Source organism: Homo sapiens, chromosome 2 (assembly GCF_000001405.40).
Source record: "Homo sapiens chromosome 2, GRCh38.p14 Primary Assembly".
NCBI lineage: Eukaryota > Metazoa > Chordata > Mammalia > Primates > Hominidae > Homo > Homo sapiens.
The window spans coordinates 171,265,161-171,282,826 of NC_000002.12; the positions used below are offsets into that span (position 1 = coordinate 171,265,161).

At 40.3% G+C, this 17,666-nt stretch overlaps 1 long non-coding RNA gene and 1 pseudogene across 2 annotated transcripts in view; one reads left to right on the top strand and one right to left on the bottom strand.

Annotated features, from left to right (window-relative positions):
- Positions 1–465: 465 nt before the first annotated feature.
- LOC105373737 (uncharacterized) overlaps positions 466–17,666 on the bottom strand; it is a 35,515-nt gene continuing 18,314 nt past the window's right edge. The window contains exons 2-4 of one of the 2 annotated variants that reach the window (XR_007087295.1): positions 6,059–6,182; positions 3,113–3,612; positions 2,021–2,056 (exon numbers count right to left, since the gene is read on the bottom strand). This is a non-coding gene — a long non-coding RNA (uncharacterized LOC105373737). Of the gene's footprint in view, positions 3,613–6,058; positions 6,183–17,666 lie in introns of both variants that reach the window. The other variant, XR_923573.3, reaches the window with a different exon arrangement.
- Positions 12,333–12,649, top strand: LOC124906093 (small integral membrane protein 26-like; annotated as a pseudogene).

Consider the following 17,666-nt stretch of genomic DNA (forward strand, 5'->3'; position numbering starts at 1 on the left):
GCGTGAACCCGGGAGGCGGAGCTTGCAGTGAGCCAAGATCGCGCCACTACACTCCAGCCTGGGCAACAGAGCGAGAGTCCGTCTCAAAAAAAAAAAAAAAAAAATTAAATAGCTGGGCACAGTGGCACATGCCTATAGGCCCAGCTACTCTGGAGGTTAAGGCAGGAGGATCACTTGAACCCAGGAGTTTGAGACTGTAGTGTGCTATGATCACACCTGTGAATAGCCACTGTTTTCCAGTCTGGACAACACAGCAAGACCTCATCTCTTAAAAAAACAAAAAGAATGAATTAGAATGAGAAAGCACATCAAACCAAATTTCTAAGACTATAAATATCAAAATTGTCATAAAATATCATAAAGTATCAAATACGATAAAATCTAGATAATATCATCATATCACGATTAATCACCTGTCTTTAATACTTTTTTCCATATATATATTTTTTTGTTTTTGCTATGTCCTTTTTTTTTTCTTTTTTGAGACAGAGTGGAGTGCAGTGGTGCGATTATAGCTCACTGCCACCTCAATCTCCTGGGCTCAAGCAATCCTTCCACCTCAGCCTCTCGAGTAGTTAGGACTACAGGTGCATGTCACCACTCCCGGCTAATTTTTTATTTTTTGTAGAGACACGGTCTTACTATGTTGCCCAGGCTGGATATGTACTCTTTGATCATTGCTTTACATGACATCGGTATCATTCTCTAAAGAAAGAATGGCAAGCTAAGTTAGTCTTTCCTCTAGATGGTCTCTTTCTGGATTCTCTATTCTGTTCAATTGGTCTGCAAATATCTCCCTACAAGAGAATAAGAATAGTTCAGAGGAACAATTGAAAAGACAAATCATAGCACATATACTGCTGAGCATTGGTCAGAGGCACCATTTTTTAAGTGCAAAGATTAGGGCATTTTACAAAGCTAAGCAAACTCTCAGTTCACCTTCCACGCATAAGAATGATTTTGTCGTCAGGGTCACAGCTCCTGCCTGTAATCCCAGCTACTTGGGAGGCTGAGGCTAGAGGACCCCTTGAACCCAAGAGGTCAAGGCTGCATTGAGCCATGATCGCACTACTGCCCTCCAGTCTGGGTGACGGACTGAGACCTCATTTCTAAAAAACAACAAAAAGAACGTTTTTTTCACTTCCTTATTACCAAGTACTTCAGTGGCTCCTGATCCCTTCAGATAACATCTAAACTCCTCTTCGTGGCAAATGAGACTCTCCATCCTCTGATTTCTTTTTACCTGTCTGGCCCCATCCCTCACTATTTTCCTACCACCACACCTCCACCTGTTCCACACAAGTTTTACTCCAGTAGCACTCAGCTATCTGGTTCCAGAGCATGCTATGCTCAGTCCCATTCCTGAAGCTTTGTATACAATGTTCTCTCTACTTGGAACACCCTCCCCAGCTTGTCCACCTGGCAAATCCACCCCGTGTCTTCAAGTCACAGATAAAATACTGCTTCTTCTGTGAAGCCTTTCTTGATCCCCTCAGACTCATTCAGGTTTTCTTCTCCTTTGTCACAATCCTACTGAAGCAATAATCTTACTGTAATGCAACTGTTTGCAGGTCTGTCTCCTCACTAGTCTATACATTTCTGCAGATCATGAACTGAGACTTCATCCTTGTATGCCAGGCACTCAGCACAGGGCCTGGTACACAGTAGGCACTTAATAAGTATGTTTTAAATGAATGAGCTTAAGCAACTTACATATGCTTACTGCTATGCTAAAATGTTCTCTCATGTTATGCTTACAACAACCCTATGAAAAAGTATTATTCTTATTTTGGGGGGGTGATTAGAATATGCCACCCCAAAATATGAACTTTTGCATAAGGATTATTTTGAGCTGAAAACAGTTGAGAAGCAGCACATGCCAAGAAGTATCTCTGCCCTCCTCCCTACTTGCCTAAAAGTAGGACGTAAATTTCCATTTGTGCCAGGTTTGGCGGCTCACACCTGTAATCCCAGCATTTTGGGAGGCCGAAGCAGAAGACTCACTTGAGGCCAGGAGTTTGAGACCAGTCTGGGCAATATAGCGAGACACCCATCTCTGCAATTAACAATTTTTTTAATAAAAAAAAATACATTTGCAAAGGCGTCTCTCTCTCTCTCTCTCTCTCTCGCATACCAGGAAGAGGAAACTCTTAGACTCATAATCACTAGAGACGAGGAGATAACTCTAGCCCAGAGATAGCACCAAAAGGTACCTACATAGTAAACCCTAATAAAATAACTCCTATTTTCCATTAGTTTCTCTCCACATATTTACCTCCCCACAATTTGTCACTCCAAAAGCTTAAACCCCTTTTCCTTCGTTTTGCCACATCTCTACAAATACACCATTCTTCGTTACGATGCTACATAACAACTACTCCTGCAAACTACTCATCACTGAGTAGTTTTTATGTAGCATCTTTGTTACGATGCTACATAACAACTACTCCTGCAAGTTACACTCATCACTGAGTTTCTCCCAAATGCATGTGCATTGCACACATTCATAAGCTCTGTTTTTCTCTTGTTAACCTGTCTTTTGTCAGTTCAATTTCTAGGTTCCTAACTGTAGAACCTAGGAGAATAGAAGAAAAGTGGTTTTTTCCTCTGCAGTTTACAGATAAACAAACTGAACCATAATGAGTTTAAGTAATTTGTCTGTAGAATTTCAACCCAGTTCTGTCTAATGCTAAAAATTTATGCTGTTTGCTACATTATGCTGTTTGTCTAAGCAGGTAAATTGTGTCGTTTCAGTAGCACTTAAGCTAGCTGCATATGGCATGGCTGATCCAACTTTTTCTGAAATAATAGACTGCTCTTCTTTCCCTGAGAGATCAAAACCCCCATTATGTGTCTGCCCCATCCACTCCCACTGAAATTGTTCTTTTCAAGGTCTCAAGTGATCTCTTTGTTGCCAAATCTAATGACCATTTTTCTCTTATCTTTTTTGACTCTCAATAGTTTCCCACAAAGTTGACCGCTCTCTTTGTTCTGGAAATAATGTTCTCTCTCAGCTTTTGTGACAAACCATTCTCTTGGGTGTTTTTTTTTTCTTGCCTCCCTGGGCACTCTGTCTCAATTCCCTTTTCTGGCTCTTCCTTCTCTTCCCTACCTCTAAATACTGGGCTTCCTCAGAATGAGGTCTTGAACCAGCTCCTCTTCTCTGTCCACCTCCTGCTGTAGGTGATCTCACCCAGGCCTGGGAAATTAAATGACATCCATATGCTGTTTGCCATTAGTATATCTCCAGCCAAGAAGTCTGCTTACGCTCACATGTCCAACTAACTACTTGATATCTCTACTTGATTGTTTCATTAGTACATCTTTAAAATCTCATTGGGAACTTAATTTCTCCTCTTAAAGACGTCCCTCTCCCAGTGTTTCAGTTACTATTGCTATGTGACAAACCACTTCCAATCTTCATGTGTCAGGACCCCAGACAGGGTACAGTGGGAATGACTTATCTTGACTCCATAGTAGCTGAATCCTCTGCTGGGAAGACTCGGAGGTTGGGGTTGCCTTAACAATAGGGGCTGCAATCATCTGAAGGCCTCTTCATTCACACATCTGGTGGTCAATGCTGGCTGCTGACCGGGACCTTAGCTGGGACTGCTGAATGGAACATTTACACTTCATGTGACTTGGATTCCTTCATAGCGGGGCAGTCTCAGGATAGGTGGGCTTCCTTATTTTTATTTATATGAGGTCTCACTCTGTTGCCCAGGCTAGAATGGGAATGCAGAGGTGTGATTATGGCTCCTGCAGCTTTGAACTCCTGGGCTCAAGTGATCCTCCCTCCTCCGACTTCCTAGTAGCTGGGACTACAGGTGTGAGCCACCGTCCCCAGCTGAGGTGGACTTATTTTTTTTTTTTAAGACGGAGTATCGCTCTGTTGCCTCAGGCTGAATACATTGGCAAGATCTTGGCTCACTGCAACCTCTGCTTTGCGGGTTCAAGCAATTCTCCTGCCTCAGCCTCCCCAGTAGCTGGGATTACAGGCACGTTCCACCATGTCCAGCTGATTTTTGTGTTTATAGTTGAGAGAGAGTTTCACCATGTTGGCCAGGCTGGTCTAGAACTCCCGACCTCGGGCTGGGAGCGGTGGCTCATGCCTGTAATCCCAGCACTTGGAAGGCCGAGGTGGGTGGATCACCTGAGGTCAGGAGTTCAAGACCAGCCTGGCCAACATGGTGAAACCCCATCTCTACTAAAAATACAAAAATTAGCCCGGTGTGGTGGTGTGTGCCTATAATCCCAGCTACTCAGGAGGCTGAGGCAAGATAATCACTTGAACCTGGGAGGCAGAGGTTGCAGTGAGCTGAGACCATACCATTGCATTCCAGCCTGGGCAACAAGCGTGAAACTCTGTCTCAAAAAAAAAAAAAAAAAACAAAAAAAACTCCTGGCCTCAAGTGATCTGCCCACTTCAGCCTCCCAAAGTTTGGGATTACAGGTGTAAGCCACAGAGCCTAGCCTGAGATGGACTTCTTATGTGATAGACCATGCAATGTCCTAGCAGACAAGACAGAGGCTTCCCATGTCCTTTTATGATCTAAATGTGGATGTCCCGGGGTTGGTTCCACTGCTACTCTATTGGTAGAAGCAGCCACACGCATGCCCAGAGTCAAGAGAAGGAGGTGTAGAGATTCCCTCTCGGTGGGTATATTAGTCTGTTCTCACACTACTATAAAGAAATACCTGTACCTGAGACTGGGTAATTTATAAAGAAAACAGGTTTGATTGGCTTATGGTTCCACAGGCTATACAGGAAGCATGGCAACATTTGCTTCAGGGGAGGGCTCGGAAAGCTTCCAGTCATGGCAGAAGGCAAAAGGCGAGTGAAGAGCTTCACATGGCCAGAGCAGGATGAAGTGCTGGGGGTGGGGTGGGAGGGGCGGGTAAGGTGCCACACAGTTTTAAACAAGTAGAACTCATGAGAACTCACTCAGTGTCAGGAGAGCCTCGCCAGGATATGGTGCTAACCCATTCATGAAAGACCACCCCCATGATCCAATCACCTCCCACAAGGCCCCACCTCTGACACTGGGGATTACAATTCAACACAAGATTTGGGTGGGAACACAGATCCAAACCGTATTAATGGGATAAACAGCACAAGTCACTATCACCTGGTACCAACTAACTGGTCTTACTGCTTCCGTATTTGTCCTCCTCCAATACATTTTTCATGTAACAGCCAAAGTGATCTTACTAAAATATGACTAACCTTATTCTCTGCCTTAAAAGCCACTAATGATTTCCCAATGCACTCAGAATAAAATCTTAATTTCTTGTCCCTGCAACCTCATCTACTATCACTCTTCCCTTGACTCAACCACTGTAGAGCATGCCTCTTCTTTTCTACTTCATAGGTTTGTACTTGCTGTTCCCTTTAACTGAAATACTCTTTCCTTCCTTGTCACTGCTTTTCATCCATAGGCCTAGCTTTTTCTCACTCAAGACTTGCCTCTCATGGCCTGACCACTCTGACTAAAGGGACCTTTACTCAATTTAGTCACCTTTTTATTCACTCTTCATCACCCTCTTTTTTTTCTTCAGAACTCTTCAGAATCTGTAAGTATAATATTTATCTGCGTACTTGTTTATTTGGGACTCTCTCATTAGAATGTAAACTCCGTGCGGGTCTTATTAACTAATTTTATCCCCGGCACCTACCATAATCCCTGGCATACAGTAGATGCTGAGAAAATATTTTTTGAATATAACAATAGATAGATAGATAGATAGATAGATAGATAGATAGATAGATAGATAGACAGAGAGAGAGATAGATAGATGATCTAGTCATTCAATGGCAGCAAAAGAAAAGACATTTCCTCCTGAGTGTCTCTTTAGCCAAGAAAAAAATTTCCCTTAAGAAGTCCTTCCCCTTGAGAACCCAGTTCTAATTCCCAGTCTTTTTGAGATTCCGGACATCTGATTCAGGCCCTGAAATGGACCTGGCATCTTGGATCACACTGTTCCTGGAGGAGGCATGTTCATCAAATTATCAAAACAATGTCACCTGCATTCACTTAGAGGCAATGACATAATTAACCTTGCTGGTTTCTGAAGCTCATAGAGGGCTGTGATGGGTTTCCTAGGATCCCCGTTTTCTTTCAGACATCCATTTGCAGCCAGATCTGACCATCCACTTGTAGGTCATCCTTTCTGCAATCATCCTGCAATTCCAAACATTCAAAGACACAGACAATGGTTTACAAACACTTTGGATTTGTTACAACAACACATTCATGCTTTTTCATACCCCCTCATCTATGAGCTATAGGCATCTATGAGCTATAGGCATCTATTTGATTTTGCTCATCTAAAGAGAATCACAATGAAGTGATTTTGAAAGCATTTTGAGACTTTTGCCAATTCCTTTAAGCTTAGTAAACAGCCTCAGGTGTCAAAATGCCAGCACTCCAAATCACCCATCTAAAGATCTCTTGACAAGCTCATTAATACTAAAGGTTGGTTTGCCATTTCATTTGGTCTTATCAAGATGTTATTTTCTCCCCCTTTTATTCACACTGGATCTTCAGCCAAGGAAATGTGCTCCCAGTTTCCCTTCAAGGAAGATTTTTCTTTTGTTGTTTTTCACTGCACTTCTTTTTCTTCGTTTATTTTATTTTTTCTTTTCTTGCTATAGCTTGCCATGTTGCCTCTATGTTTTATTCTTAAGATGGTATTTAAGCCTTTTATATCCTGCTACCTTTATTGATAGCAAAACGGAAGTTTATGTGTCTTTTCCCCTTGAAACTCAGGAAGGATTTGTCAAGTGTGACTTTTTAAGGAAAAAAAAAAAAATCAACTGTATCTGTTTGGCAAAGATTCGCCACCACACTTGCAATTCTCCTCTCCAGTACTTTCCTGGGACTGACAGTTTTTTGGTCTATTTCACTGGCTGCTGTAACATGTTCCCTTATACTGGCTCATTCCCAATGGTTTGGTAGCAAGTCAGATGAATGAGTCATGGTGAACTGGGAAGTAATGTCAACATTCAGAGCCCTTCTCACTCTCCCTCCAGGCTGGCATAGGCCACCTCACATTCTTTACATGTTACAAAGAGCCAGGTAACTGATTCTAACACCTTTTCACCCATCTACAAGTGGAAATTGTGCAACCTCTGTGAGCACACAACAGGGCTGAGACATCTGGAATTTTTCTGCTATTCCTTTCCCCTTGGAGAGTTTACACTGTATTAAATTTAACTTTTCTGATAGCTAAAGAATAGTTTTAGAGTTAGGAAAAAGAGAGAATGAATGTTAATGAGCAACATTTTTACCAGTTCTCTGCAACATTACCCAAATCATTCAACTATCTTATTGCTAAAAAGAATTCTACCAACTTTTCGGGTGGAAATCCTTTGGACTGGTGCCTGATACACCAACTTTGAGAACAATTTAATGTGACTGGGTTTCATTGTTTTCAGTTCCTTCAAAGAAAGGCAAATTTTTTTTTTTTTTTTTTTTTTTTTTGAGACAGAGTCTCGCTCTGTCTCCCAGGCTAGAGTGCAATGGCGCAATCTCGGCTCACTGCAAGCTCCACCTCCCGGGTTCAAGCCGTTCTCTTGCCTCAGCCTCCCAAGTAGCTGCAACTACAAGCGCCCGCCACCACGCCTGGCTAATTTTTTGTACTTTTTTTAGTAGAGACGGGGTTGCACCGTGTTAGCCAGGATGGTCTCCATCTCCTGACCTTGTGATCCACCTGCCTCGGCCTCCCAAAGTGCTGGGATTACAGGCGTGAGCCACCGCGCCTAGATGGGGCAAATGTTTTACTACATCAGATACTTTGTCTTTAGTCAACCGATTTTTTTCTTTTTTTTTTTTTGAAGACAAGGTCTTTTTGAACATTTTATTTTCTTCTAAGTACTCCCTGAAAGTATTCTGTTTTGCAGTGTTCTTCATAATGCTCCATCTGTCCTGGATTTTTAGAAGATTTTTTTTTTAAATCCCCTCAGAAAATTCAATGAAAAAAGGTAAAGGCTTTACTGCCAGTAGATTTTTGTTTCTCTTCTTTCTGGGAAAGAGCCAGTTTGAGCTTAAAAATAGACCTGAGAAATATCTACAGCTTGAGAATCATTCAACCCTCTAATATTTGCTCTAGAATAAAAAGGAGAGTTGATACATCTGATCTCAAATGATCCCCATCGTTATCACCTTTTTATTTCAGATCAAATAATTCACCACAGCAGCCTCCTGGTGAAGCAAATTCCATTATGTTAACCACCTGCTCTCTCTTATTTTTAATTTATACTGACAAAAGAGAGAAGGTGGGAATTTAGGTCATTCCAAGTGTCCCATGTTCAACATTCATCAATTGATGCTGTTTATTATTTATTACCAATGGCAGTTACTGCGATCCTAACACCAGATATCCACTGGGATAAAAATAGTGTGGCAATAAAAAGGAATGACTTATTTTTAAAGTTTTCCTTTTTAAAAAAATTATTGATTACAATTGACATAATAAAATTCACAATATTTAAGTGTACAATGAAAGTGTTTATCATCAGCTGATAAATCTGGAAGTGTTGCTGCTTGAATTTTTAATGACAAATTAGAGTTGTTGATACGAATACATTGGTATTTGGATGTACTTTCAGGGTCAATGTTAAAAGACATTTTAATATGATTTGGATGTTTTGCCTTGGAAGCAGTTCATCTATGCATACAAAATCAATCCTTTTTTTGTTTGTTTGTTTTTAGAGACGGATCTCCCTATGTTGCCCAGGCTGGCCTGCAGTGGGGTTATTCACAGTTATGACCATAGTACACTGGAGCCTCAAACTCCTGGGCTCAAATGATCCTCCTGCCTAAGCCTCCAGAGTAGGTGAGACTATAGACACACACTACCATGCTGGGCCAAAATCAACTCTAAAGAAACTGTGGGTAAATTTCTTTTCTTTTCTTTTTTATTTTTTTGAGACAGGGTCTCATTCTGTCACCCAGGCTAGAGTGCAGTTGCACAATTACCGCTCACTGCAGCCTCGAACTCCTGGGCTCAAGCTATCCTCCTGCCTCAGCTCCTGAGTAACTGGGACTACAGGTGTGTGGCACCACGCCCAGCTAAATTTTTTTTTTTTTTTTTAGTAAAGACAAGGTCTCACTACGTTGCCCAGGCTGGTCTTTAACTCCTGGGCTCAAGTGAGCCTCCTGCCTAGGCCTCTCAAAATGTTGGGATGATAGGCGTGAGCCACTGCACCTGGCCTCGCTCTCCTTCTTAAATAAGTTTTTCCTCTTTTCCTTGGGAACTTAAAGTTTTGATGTAATTTTATCTTTACATTTTCATTTTTATTTTAGATTCAGGGGGGTCCATGTGTAGATTTGTTACAAGAGTATGTCATATGGGGCTGGGGTTTGGGCTTCTTTCTATTGGTCCCATTACCCAGATAGTGAACATAGTCCCCAATAGGAAGGTTTTCAGCCTTGCTCGCCTTTCCTCCTTTTGGAGTCTCCAGTGTCTATTGGTCCCATCTTTATGTCCACATGAATCCAATTATGTAATTTTAAGCTTACAGAAAAGCTGCAAGAATAGTGCAAAGAACTCCCATATACTCTTACTCAAATTCACCAATTTTTATTTTTACTCCAACTTAAATAAATTTAACATTTAGTTTTTTATTTGAGAAAAAAAAAATTAAGGTCTAGCTCTTTCCAAAGTTTGTATTTCCATTTATCTCTAGCCTAACTGGTAGAAAAATAGCAATTAATAGCACTGTTTTACAGCAAGGGAGACTGAGACACAGAGAAGTCTAACAGAACTCTGGGGTCCAGCACCACCTATGGCCAACATAAGGAAGCCAGTCACCACTCAGCTCTGCAGTCTAGCTTGGCAACCTCTAGCCTGACCTCTTCCTGGGATCCCTGGCTCCTATACAAAGCCCTTGCTCCTGACCCTTAGTTTTGATGACTGACATTACCCTTATTGTCCCAATCTTCGATGCGCCTTTTGCCTTTGGCCATTCTGGAGATCACCACACACTCAATTCAGCCCACTAGGGACCTTACCCTGTCTCAGCCCTTAATAGCAGGCAACTTAAAAAGTAGTAGTATTGTCAAATATGCACAACTAGGGATCCCAGGTGTCCTAGCACCTAGAATCATAGAATCAAGAAACACTGGCACTGACGTGACCATGAAATCATTCGGCACAACTCTTGTATCACATGAGGACACTGAGGCCCCAAGAGATTTAATATTTTGTCAGGGTCACATAGTGAAGTGAGCTGGTAGCAAAGGCATGGCTAAAATTCTAGTTTTATGATTTTTTAAACAACATACTGCTGCCTTGTTTTTATTATTATTAACAATTAATCACATGTAAAACAGTATGGCAGTCACTCCAAAAATTAAACATAGAACTACTAGCAATTCTACTTCTGGTATATACCTCAAAGAATTGAAAGTATAGTTTGAACAGATATATTTGTACACTGTATTTATTTATTTTGAGACAGGGTCTTGCTGTCACCCAGCTAGAGTGCAGTGGCATGATCACAGCTCACAGCAGCCTCAACCTCCTGAGCTCAAGCAATCCTCCCACCTCAGCCTCCTGAGTAGTTGGGACCACAGGCACGTGCCATCATGCCCGGCTAATTTATTTTTACTTTTTGCAGAGATGGGATCTCCCTATGTTTCCCAGGCTGGTCTCGAACTCCTGGCCTCAAATGATCCTCCCACCTCAGCCTCCCAAAGTGCTGGGATTACAGGTGTGAGCCACTGTGCCCAGCCTGTGCACTGCATTAATCAGCTCAGACTGCCCGTAAAAGCCACCACAGTCTGGGTGGCTTTAACAACAGAAATTTATTTTCTTTAAGTTCTGGAGGCAAGAAGTCCAAGATCAAGGAGTTATCAGGGCTGGTTTCTGTTGAGGACTCTCCTCCTGGCTTGTAGGCAGCTACCTCTTGCTGCGTCATCACATGGCCTCTTCCCTACACTTGTAGAGAGGGAGAGTGACAGAGGGGTGTCTTTTCTCTTTTTTAAAATAAGGACATCAGTCTTATTGGATTAGGGTCTCACCCTTCTGACCTCATTTAACCTTAATTACCTCCCTAAAAGTCCTGTCTCCAAATACAGTCACTTTGGAAGCTAGGGCCTCAACATATAAATTTTGAGAGGACATGAGTCAGTTCACAACAACTATCTTCTCAGTTTTTTTTTTTTTTTTTTGAGATGGAGTTTCGCTCTTGTTGAACAGGCTGGCGTGCAATGGCGTGATCTCAGCTCACCGCAATCTCGGCCTCCTGAGTTCAAGCAATTCTCCTGCCTCAGCCTCTTGAGTAGCTGGGATTACAGGCCTGTGCCACCACACCTGTCTAATTTTGTATTTTTAGTAGAGACAGGGTTTCTCCATGTTGGTCAGGCTGGCCTCGAACTTCTGACCTCAGGTGATCCGCCCGCCTCAGCCCCCCAAAATGCTGGGATTACAGGCTGAGCCACCACGCCCAGCCTCTTCTCAGTTTTTTGTAAACTAGAACTATTCTAAAAAATAAAATATATTAATAAAAAATTTAGATTCCCTAAGCAACCTAAGTGTCCATTAACAGACAAATGGGTAATGAAAATGTGGTACATATACATGATGAAGTATTATACAGCCATGAATAAAGAATAAGATCCTGTCATTTGCAAAAACATGGATGGAACTGGAGATCATTATGTTAAGTGAAATAATCCAGGCACAGAAAGACAAACTTCACATAATCTCACTGATTTGTGGAAACTAAAAATTAAAACAATTGAACTCATTGAGATAGAGAATAGAAGGTTGGTTAACAGAGGCTGGAATGGTAGTCAGAGGCGGGGTGGAGTGTGGGCATGGTTAATGGGTACAAAAATATAGTTAGAATGAATAAGATCTAGTATTTGATAGCACAACAGGGTGACTACAGTCAACAATAATTTATTGTACATTTAAAAATAACTAAAAGAATATAATTGAATTGTTTGTAACACAAAGGATAAATGCTTTAGGTCATAAATACCCCATTTACCCTGCTGTGAGTATTATGCATTGCCTGTCTGTACTAAAATATCTCATGTATCCCATAAATATATATATACCTACTATGTACCCACAAACATTTTAAAAAAACTTTAGATACCCAAACCAAACTTCTAGAGATAAAAATACATCTGAGATGAAAATACACTGGATGTATTGTGCCATTGGATGGGAATGTAAGTGCCATTGCATGGAAATAATGGTAGATTAAACAATGCAGAAGAAAAAATTATGGATTTTGAAGACACAGCAATAGAAAGTTCACAAGGAGCTGCCTCCACCGTGGGCCTGTGAGAATCGAGGCCCTCGCCAGTGTACCCATGTATCAAAACCAGTTCACGGCCCGGTACCAGTGGATGTTGGTGGTCTATGGGATCAGTTGGTGATCTATGGGATTGGCACCCGGTCTCTGGTGGGCTCAATGGTTTACTTTGGCCAGAAAATGGCGAAGTTGTCAGGTGATGAAGTACAGCAAAAGGATGGCTCAACAAGTGAAGTACCCAGTGAACTATCTGAACCCCCAAAAGGGTTTTATGTGGAAACAATTGTCACAGATAAGGAAGATTTTGTTCCAATTACTGAAAAGATCCTCAACAACTGGAAATCATGGACTGGTGGCCCTGGTGCAGAACCATGACTGGCTACTGAATTCTGAAAACTAAGACTTGGTTCAACATTTAAATTTGATAGATGCCTTGATTCCCATTTTGTGTTTGTGAAACGCATATATATTTAATTTTGCTGTAAAACATAATCACTAATAATATGCAATAAATCTTTTCTTGAAGGAAACTAAAAAAAAAAGAAAGAAAGTTCTCAATGAAACAGAGGGAGAAAAAAAGTCTAAAAAAAAAAACAGTTTCAATAAGCAGTGGAATAAGTTTAAGTAGCCTAATATATATGTAATTGAAGTCCCAAGACAGAGTATACTAATTTGCTAGGGCTACCATAACAAAATACCACAGACTGGGTAGCTTAAATAAAAATTTAAGCTCATGTTTCTGGAGGCTGGAAGTCTAAGATCAAAGTGCTGACAGGTTCTGTTTCTCCCGAGGCCTCTCTCTTTGGCTGGTGGACAGCCACCTTCTTGCTGTCTCCTTTCATGGCCTTTTCTTTGTGTGTGCCTCCCTGTTGTCTCTACCTCTTCTTATATGGACACCAGTCATATTTGATTAGGGTCCCACCCTTATAACTTTAACTTTAATTACCCCTTTAAAGGCCCCATCTTCAAATGCAGATTGAAGGGGGTTAGTTTCAATGTATGAATTCAATCCATAACAGACAGGAAAGAGATAGGAGAACAAAATTTTTTTGAAGAAATAATGGCTGAAAATTGTCCAATTTTGATGAAAACTCTAAACCCAGAGATCCAAGAAGCTCAACAAACCTAAGCACAAGACACAAGAAGAAAACTATACCATGGCACATGATAAATTGTCCAAAGCCAGAGATAAAGAGAAAAACCTTAAAAGCAGCCAGAAGAAAAAAAAAAAGGTTTATAATGTACGGAATAAACAAGATAAGAATGAAAGTAGAAAGGTAGACTTCTTGTCAGAAACAATGCAAACCAGAAGAAAGTGAAGCAACATCTTTAAAGTACTGACGGAAAAAAAAATTGTCAACGTAGAATTTTATACCCAGTGAAAACCTCATAAAGACATCTTCAGACATATGAAAGCTAAAAGCTTTTCACTAGCAAATCTGTACTATAAGAAATGTTAAAGGAAGTCCTTGAGGCAGAAGGAAAATGATATCAGACGGAAATCTAGATTTATACAAAGGAAAGAAGAGAATCAGAAGTGGCACCTATTTGAGTAGTAATAAAAGACTCTTTTGTTATTTAGAAAAACCTCTTTAAAGTATAATTGACCATTTAAAGCAAAAATAATAAGATATTGTGGGACTATAATAAGTACAGTTGACCCTTGAAAAACACGAGTTTAGACTGTGTGACTCCACATACACAGATTTCTAAAAATAAATGTATTGAAAACATTTTTGGAGATTTGAGACAATTTGAAAAAACAGATGAACTGCATGCATATCTAGAAATATTAAAACAATTAAGAAAAAGGTATATCATGAATGCATAAAATATATGAAGATACTAAGCCTTTATCATTTACTACCATAAAAAAAACAAATCTATTATAAAAAGTTACAATTTATATGCACACAAACACAGACCATATGTGGTGCCATTTGAAGTCGAGAAAAATGTAAACAAATATAAGAATGCAGTATTAAATCATAGCTGCATAAAATTAACAGCAGTACATACTGTGCTACTGTAATATTTCATTGCCACCTCCTGTTGCTATTGTGAGCTCAAGTATTGGGATTATCTGCTTAAAACACCATGCGACCCTAATCTCCTTATGAGCAGTTGTCCCTTCAGTAAATTGCATATTGCAGTAAAAAGTGATCTCCCCTGGTTCTTGCGTATTTTTCATGTTTAGTACAATACCATGAACCTTGAATAACATCATGGGACCCACACAAAGTGCCACTAGTGATGCTGGAAGTGCTCCCAAGAAGCAGAGAAAAGTCATGACATTAAAAGAAAAAGTTGAATGGCTTGATACATACCACAATTTGCAGTCAGACACTGCAGTTGCCACCATTTCAGACAGATGATATATCTTGTAAATGGATGGCGTGAACTTCCGGTATGGATAAATACAGCACAGAACTGACAATGTATGTTCTCTTCTTTATGATTTTCTTAACATTGTCTTTTCTCTTACTTACTGTATTGTAGGAATACAGGGTATAATACATATATAAAATACGTGTTAATCAATTGTTTAGGTTATCAGTGAGGCTTCTGGTCAATAGAGGCTATTAGTAGTTAAGTTAGTTAAGCTTGGGAGAAGTCAAAAGCTATAGGAGAATTTTCTACTGTACAAGACGAAGGGGGAGGGCAGTGCCCCTAACCCTTGCATTGTTCGAGGGTCAACTGTAATTATAATAAAAATGAGTTCTGAGTGTTGCTACGGGATTAAGCTGAAGCTGTGAGATAGGGATTGCGACAGCAGTGTTAACTGAAACTGCTTATTTCCTCAGAGAGCTTACAAGGTCAAACCATTTCTTACTTTTTCTGCATTAATTTGATCACAAAGTAAGATGATTACTGCTTTATCTGATTTTTACCACTTGTGGTCTTAGTATAGTAATATCTAAGCTCACAATTCCTCCGGGTATAAGATCACTTTATAGTATAAAGATCCCTTTAGTCTGTCTGGATTGAGTGTGGTGGCTCACGCCTGTAATGTTAGCACATTGGGAGGCCGAGGCGGGCTGATGGCTTGAGCCCAGGAGTTTGAGACCAGACTGGGAAACATGGTGAAACCCTGTCTGTACGAAAAATGCAAACAATCAGCCAGGTGTGCTGGCGCGTGCCCATAGTCCCAGCTACTCAGCAGGCTGAGATGAAAGGACACCTGAGCCCAGGGAGGTCAAGGCTGCAGTGAGCCATGATGGCGCCACTGCACTCCAGCCTGGACAACAGGGTGAGACTCCATCTCAAAAACAAAAACAAAAACAAAAAAAGCCTGTCTGGGCAGACTGGCGGGGGTCAGAGTCCTGTCTTTACTAATTTCAAAAATAGTCATTTAAAATAAGTTTAGACTTAGCTTCTGACACAACTTGGATAGAACTCTCCTTTTTTGGGAAAATTAGGAAGAAGATGAGGTAAAAGCGTCTCCTTAAAAGTCAGAGGCAGAAATTTAACCGGGGGATCATAGATGCACATAGCTAACTCGATAGGCCCTTTCTCTACCAGCTCGAGGTAGAGAAACACAAGAAAAACTCAACACCATAGGTTGTGTCATAAATAGGATAACGGGTTTGGGTTTGTAAAATCGTCTGGATATTTCCTTATTCCCACATTTCCTTACTCCTCCTTATTAAAAACACCACTTTGGGTCACTTTTTAATAGATTTATTTTATTTATTTATTTTTTTCAGTAATATACTTCTCCAGTAGAAGGCCAACGCCTTGATGGCAGGGCAGCTGCTTTGGGTTTGGAAAGTACAAGAACTAGTCTCTGGTAGGTGTGGCACAATGGAGAAGGAGGAACCATGCTTTATATTCATGCAAACATAAATCAGTGAAAAGCAATTGCCTGTAGGGATCAGGCCTGAGGGTGGGAGAGCAGCTGGGCAGAGATCAGCTACCATCTGGTATGATGACCTACATTTATTAATAGGAAAATGCGCATATTATGTCGTTGAGTAAAACAACAGGTAACAAGATAGTGTGTAGTGTGCAAAGATAAATACTTGACAAGCTGTGCTGTGGTGTGATTTTAGATTGATTTCATTTTTTTTGTTTGTTCATTTTCATGTTCTACTTTTTTTTTTTTTTTAACACAAGATACATGTTTTACTTACTAAACTAGGGGGAAATAATACGAGTTTTTAAAAAATTGAATAAGATTCTGGACCCTCACTGAGAATTCAGATACTCAAGAGACTTTTCAAAATTCTCACCTGTCTTCAGTGGCTTAGGGTGTTCTTACTTGGGGGACAGGGATTCGGGCACAGTCCCTTCAGTAGAAAATTAGCCACTCTTCAAACAGCCTGTGTACCTCTTGAAAGTACCAGGCTAAGGCATCCTCCAGAAACCAACACAGAAGTACAACAAACGTTTCTCAAGAACATTGGAAACAAGCTAATGGCCCAATATCATGTGATTTTTAAAGTAAATTATGGGACCGCCAGATAATTGGAATATTTGCAGCCATTAAAATCTATGGTTTATAAGAATATTTAATAACATGAGAAAATGCTCAAATTGTAACATTAAATTTAAAAAGTCATATGTGGTGTTATGCTATTTGAAAAGAGAATTATATATGCAATTTAATTTCCAAAAGGAAATAGACCCAAATGTTAATAAATGTTATCCCTGGGTAATAAAAATATAAATAATTTCAGTTTCTTTACCCCTTTCTCTAATTTCAAAAATTCCTACCATGACTTAGTTTTATAATTGGAACACAAAATGTTATTATTATAATTATTTTAAAAGAAGTTGGCTTATAGAACTGGAGAGAGGTTCATGACAGGCTCTAAAGCAGACAGCGTAGGTAAAAATCCTGGCTCCGACAAGTCAGCAAGCCACTGTCCCTCTCTGTGGCTCAATTTCCTTTTTCTTTTTCTTTTTCTTTTTTTGAGACAGAGTCTTGCTCTGTTGCATAGGCTACAGTGCAGTGGCATTATCATGGCTCACTGTAAGCCTTGACCTCCCAGGCTCAAGCAGTCCTTCTGCCTCAGCCTCCCAAGCAGCTGGGACTATAGGCACAGGCCACCATGCCTGGCTAATTCTTTAAATTTTTTGCAGAGACAGGTTCTCACATTTTTGCCCAGGCTGGTCTCAATCTCCTGGCCTCAAGGGATCTTTCCACTTTGGCTTCCCAAAATGTTGGGAATACAGACATGAGCCATTGTACCTGGCCTAATTTCCTTATCTTAAAATAGAGATAATGATAGTACCTATTTCATAGGATGACTATAAGATTAAATGAATCAATTCATAATAAAGTGCTTAAAATAGTGCCTGGCTTATAGTAAACGCCTCCCAAAGTTATTATGATTGCTATTATTATTATTGTAGGTCGAAAGTTCTAGCCTCCTACCTATTCATAAGT